Source organism: Homo sapiens, chromosome 18, assembly GCF_000001405.40.
Source record: "Homo sapiens chromosome 18, GRCh38.p14 Primary Assembly".
Taxonomy (NCBI): Eukaryota; Metazoa; Chordata; class Mammalia; order Primates; family Hominidae; genus Homo; species Homo sapiens.
This window is the reverse complement of record NC_000018.10, coordinates 51,840,073-51,845,862: the sequence shown is the minus strand read 5'-3', so window position 1 is coordinate 51,845,862 and position 5,790 is coordinate 51,840,073. Positions and strand designations below refer to the sequence as shown.

Genomic DNA, 5,790 nt, shown 5'->3' with positions numbered 1-5,790 from the left:
GATGCAAAGGCATAAGAATGATACAATTCTTTGGGGAGTTGGGGGTAAGCGTGGGAGGGGGCAAGGGATAAAAGACTACAAATAGGGTGCAGTATATGCTGCTTAGATGATGGGTGCATTAAAATCTCACAAATTACCACTAAAGAACTTACATAACCGAACACCACCTGCACTCCAATAATCTATGGAAAAATAAGTAAATAATAAAGAAATAAATAAATTTTAAACAGCGATGAGCATCCTTGGGACAACTAGCACAAGCGCTGCAAGACTGGGGGCAAGAGAAAGCCCTACCACAAGAAGCGAAAGTATGAGCTGGGGTGCCCGGCTGGTTGCCAACACCAAGATTAGCCCTGCCGCATCCACACAGTCCATGTGCAGGGAAGAAATGAGAAATACTGTGCCCTGAGGCTGGACAAGGGGAATTTCTCCTGGGGCTCAGAGTGTTGTACTTGCACAACAGTGATCATCGATGTTGTCTACAATGCATTCAATAACGAGCTGGTCCGTACCAAGACCCTGGTGAAGAAATGCATCATGCTCATCAACAGCGCACCATACCAACAGTGGTACCAGTCCCACTATGCGCTGCCCCTGGGCCGCAAGAAGGGGACCAAGCTGACTGCTGAGGAGGAGGAGATTTTAAACAAAAAGCGACCTAAAAAAATTCACAAGAAATACGATAAAAGGAAACAGAATGCCAAAATCAGCAGTCTCCTGGAGGAGCAGTTCCAGCAAGGAAGGCTTCTTGCATGCATCACATCAAGGGTGGGACAGTGTGGCCAAGCAGATGGCTATGTGCTAGAGGGCAAGGAGATGGAGTTCTGTCTTAGGAAAATCAAGGCCTGGAAAAGCAAACACATCCTCATCCTTTCTGTCTTTGCCCATGTAATAAAAGTGTTTATTGCTCTGTGAAAAAAAAAAAAAACTGGGTTAGAGAAAGAATTTCATGCCAACATATAAGGGCAAGTGGAAACTGTGGGTGAGTTGGCTTATAAGGAGTACAAGCCATATTGAGTAGGTTGGATAGTGAATGTGGAAGAAAGAAACAGAAATAGTTGTGAACAAGAGAGACAATGCCTTGCTAGGAGCATTTTTTTACCATTTCCCTGAATGTTGGCAGGGTTTTTCTTTTTGATTTTTTTTTTTCTTCAAGAAAATGCCAGAGCACTAAGAAAAACTTGAGAGCATATGATAAGATGCTGCTCATATCCAAGTGGAGATACAAATTACTCCAACTGGGAGAAGGTAAAAGAACACTCCAATAAGAAAATAAGAGACAAGGTCCTAAGTCAAAACAGAGTCACAGTACATGGCAAAGAGGAGGATGCTAACTGGGAAGACAGTCACGTTCTTGCTTGGTGCCTATAAGGATGAATGCTGAAACAATACTCAAGTGTTGCTCAAGTAATGAAAACCTGGAAGTAATCTGCTTTGATTGAAATTTCCCATTGGTTCTATTTCTCTTACGAACTTGTGGTGCATGCTTGCATATGAAGCACTGCTCATTTACCGGTGAGGAAAACGAGGCTCCTCCAAGATTTTCCAGCTGGACTCAGCACACTGTGCTGGAAAAAGACTTGACTAACCATCTAGTTCATCTCTTGGTCTCCTAGGGAGAAGAAAGCAACAACTGCTGCTCCAAAGGCAAGTGCAGTACAAGTCGACATCTGGGAAACTAGCTGCCAAGTGTTGTCTGGTGGTAAAGCACTGAAGTGATGACCTTGAGATGTCCCAGGTGGTCACCACATACCTGCCACTGACTGGGTGAGCTTGAACAAGCTACTGACATTCACTGGCCTCAGAGATTCCACATCTATACACAAGAGAGTCACCTAGTTTTGATAATTACTGGGGTTCTGTCAGGATCCAAAGTTTCATTACTTGAATTATTTCTTACTTGCTTACCTTCTTTCGGTCTTTCATATCTCCACCCTTAAGATGATTTAAACAAAAGAAATCGAAGTTCACATCCAATATTTTTATATACTATTCCCAAATAGCTTTGGGGTACGAGTGGAGAAATGTTTATGATAACTAAGCTAACAAAGCAGGGCAGAACCAAAAAGGTAGGGAGTAGCAATCCGTATATATTTTACAATGAGAATAGTCAACAGAGCTTTGCATTATCCAGGTAACACACAGGGAAAGCTGGTTTTTAGCTTAACCCATTTTGGAGTATTCGTATTTGTAAATTACGTAGGTTGCATTATGTCCACTTAACCATAATGTTGCAGGTATGAAGCACTCTGGTGAATATTATTATTATTAATTGAATTACACTATGGATTAATAGTTCTCTGTGAATCAGAATTCAGTAAAATTGAACACCAGGCTAAATGTAATAGAAACATTATGAGGATGTAGAGGAAGATTAGGATTCTGATAAAAGCCTTCAAGATGGAATAAATAAGATTAATTTAGCAATAAATGTTTTTGAGTGTTTATTATATACACATCTTTGTGCTAGGAGTTGTAGGATTTCAGTTTTCTGATCTGAACTTGAAAGGAAATTTTACTATATTTGGAGTTTTTTAATTGGGAACATTCTCATGCCTACTAGGGAAGTTAAATGTTAATCTCTTATCAGGAAGTACCACAACCATTTCTTTAGATTACTCTATGATAATATATTAGGAGTAAGAGGTTTCTGCTTTAAAAGGAGTTATTTTTAAAAGTTTTCTATAAACAAAACCAAACAAAAGCAGGTACTTCAAATTTCTCCTTGGACACCTCCGCGTTAAGCAAACAGTTTTGTTCACGCTTCCCTTCGAGTTTGCCTCATTCTTTGGGGCTGCACTGACATGCTTTTCACAAAGCAAGAAAGTCTTCACTGTCTTGTTTTGCTGCTCCCTATCAAAGGCATGCTGGGTGATGCCCATCAAAGTCACAACTGCAGCTGAGTAACATACTGATGCCACCTACCAGGCTGTGGGCACCATCAGGGAAGGCTACTTAGCAGCCGCCTGAACTTTCTGAAATGGCCTAACATTGCTCCTCTGCTTGGTCTTCCTGGTGAATTCCCAGGCAGAAGTTAGTGTCCTGCTTTCCCCAAGGGACAAGCTGCCTGAGGACACTGGTCCCTGGGAAGCCCACCGTCCCAGGCTGGCCCAGCTCAGCTCAGACCAACTGCTGACTAAGGAGCCCCCAGCTTCAGCAGCTGAACCACAAAAAGGTTGTACTTCCCTCCCACAGAGAGACAGTTTATTGCTTTAAGTAGTTGGGGGTAGGCAGGAGGGTCTCTGAAGAGCAGTATACAATTCTAAATGGCTCTTTTTAATATCTATGAGTTTGAATCCCTAGCACATACCTGAACAAATACCAGCATAACTGCTTTCATTAGAAGGAAGAACTAAAGTCTTTTCTTCAGAAACACTGTGTGTTCCCCAGGAAAACTGTGAACAAATAAAGTCTCATGGTCTTCAGACTCCTGTTTCTTGGCATTTAAAAGATTACAGGCCTACTTTAGGGAAACTAAATGTTAACAACCCTTTCTTAGAGATCACTCCAATAAATGTTATAGAAGGGGCATCAGACTTGGATTCAAAAGCCTGAGGACTGATTCTCATCCCTTCTTCTTGCCAAGTGTATAAATCAGGAAGGTTCATTTCACCCCTCTGTATCTTGGTTGACTCAACAGTAAAATGAGGATGGAATAGTTGTAAAAGTTACATAAGGTAACACCAGAAACATAGTAAGACTTGATAGATATTCCAAGAACAAAAATCCTATCATGGGCCAGGCGCAGTGGCTCACACCTGTAATCCCAGCACTTTGGCAGGCTGAAGCAGGCGGATCACTTGAGGTCAAGAGTTCAAGACCAGCCTGACCAACATGGTGAAAGCCCATCTCTACTAAAAGTACAAAAATTAGCCAATTGTGGTGGCAGGCACCTGTAATTCCAACTACTAGGAAAGCGGAAGCAGGAGAATCCCTTGAACCCAGGAGGCAGAGGTTGCAGTGAGCTGAGATTGCACCCACTGCACTCCAGTCTGGGTGACAAAACTAGACTCTGTCTCAAAAAAAAAAAATAGGAAAAGTAAGAAAATCCCATCATGAACACGAAACATTTCCTGACTAGCCTGGCTACCAGGGAGCCGCCTCCTCGTGAGCTGCCAGTCTTCATGTGTTTCTCTTCCTTCCCTGCATGGGGATCAGCTTGATTCTTTGTTGTTGTTGTTTATTTCCCATAGCACCAAGTGCAATCCTTACACCCAGCAGGTATTCAATAAATACTAATTGGTTGATTGATTAAACTTGAATTTTAACACCATCTCAGCAACTTTGAAAATCAGAGAACCCCTTATGCAAACACTAAAGTCATTTACCCAGCAAACATAAGTTTTAGGAGAGCTTTGCTTCTGTAAAAAAAAAAAAAAAAAGCATTGGCCCTGGAAAGAAAAATACTTAGATTCAAAACGCTTTTTGTTTTGCCGCATACTGAGTGAACTTGGGCAAGTTACTCAAATGGAGGCAATACAATCCATCCCACATGACTCTTCTAAGAATCGAATAAGATACAAAGTGTCTAGTACATTGTTAGTGTCAAGAATGATGAGGTTCTATTGAACAATAGCAAGAATAAATAAAATACATAAACATTAAGTTTCTTCTATTCATTCTTTGGTAGGTCATTTTTAATTAAACTAAGACATGTTATTGATATACTCAGATTCATGTTGCCCCCACCCCCACCAATTTAAACAAGGGTGAGCTATGTAATTTGGCCAGCAGCTTTGGAGAGGAAACTTGGAGTTACAGGATACCCTGAAACTGCGGGTACACATAAGCAACAAATCCTAAAAGGTACTTAGAACTCTCAAATATTGGTTTGAAAGCAGGTAGTTAGGCTTCACAGGATAAGGATAACTGGTTATGTGACCTGGCAAGAACAGTAACAGGCTGTCAGCAAATACTTCCCTTCCAGAGATGGTCTTGGGAACCTACATAATAATGTGGGAACGAAATCAATGTTGGCAAAGCATTTTTTTTTTTCTTTGAAACAGGGTCTCACTGTGTCGCCCAGGCTGGAGTGCAGCAGTGCAATCTTGGCTCACTGCAACCTCTGCCTTCCAGGTTCAAGCAATCCCCCTACTTCAGTCTCCCGAGTTGCTGGGATTACAAGTGTGTACCACCATACCCGGGTAATTTTTGTATTTTTAGTGGAGATGGGGTTTCACCATAATTGCCAGGCTGGTCTCGACTCCTGATCTCAGGTGATCCACCCGTCTCGGACCCCAAAGTGCTGGGATTACAGACGTGAGCCACCATGCCCGCCCAGCAAAGCATTTTTAATACCGGCAAATTGCAAAGAACAGAATATTTGAGATGGAAAAAAAACGGAGCATTTATTGGACACTTGCTCTCTACTGATCATTGTACTAGACACATAAAACTGTTTTCCTATTTGATTTCTTACATTACAGAAGAATTTAGATCCAGAGAGTTAAGACTGATGTGATATCACAGAGAGAGTTAATATTAAGGCCAGGATTAGAACCCAGAGAATAAAAACATCTTTAACTCTCATTCTTTTCACAGCAATCTCTTACTCATCAGGCAGGAAAAGCCCTGCAATTCCTGCTTTACCAGGATAGAAAGAAGTTCCTCCCCACCACCACTTCTCAGCATGGTTAAAGAATCCTGAAGAAGCTGCATCCCCCACTTGTACTCCCCCGCCTCCATGCTCTACTAAAAGATGCTACACAGCACATGATGCAATTTAAACATAGAAGGGCAATTAAAAAAACCATACAAGGAATAAAGAATATCTAATTGATTGCCTTCATT

The 5,790-nt window shown here is 41.5% G+C and overlaps 1 pseudogene; it reads left to right on the top strand.

The window, feature by feature from the left end:
- RPS8P3 (ribosomal protein S8 pseudogene 3) lies at positions 229–913 on the top strand (annotated as a pseudogene).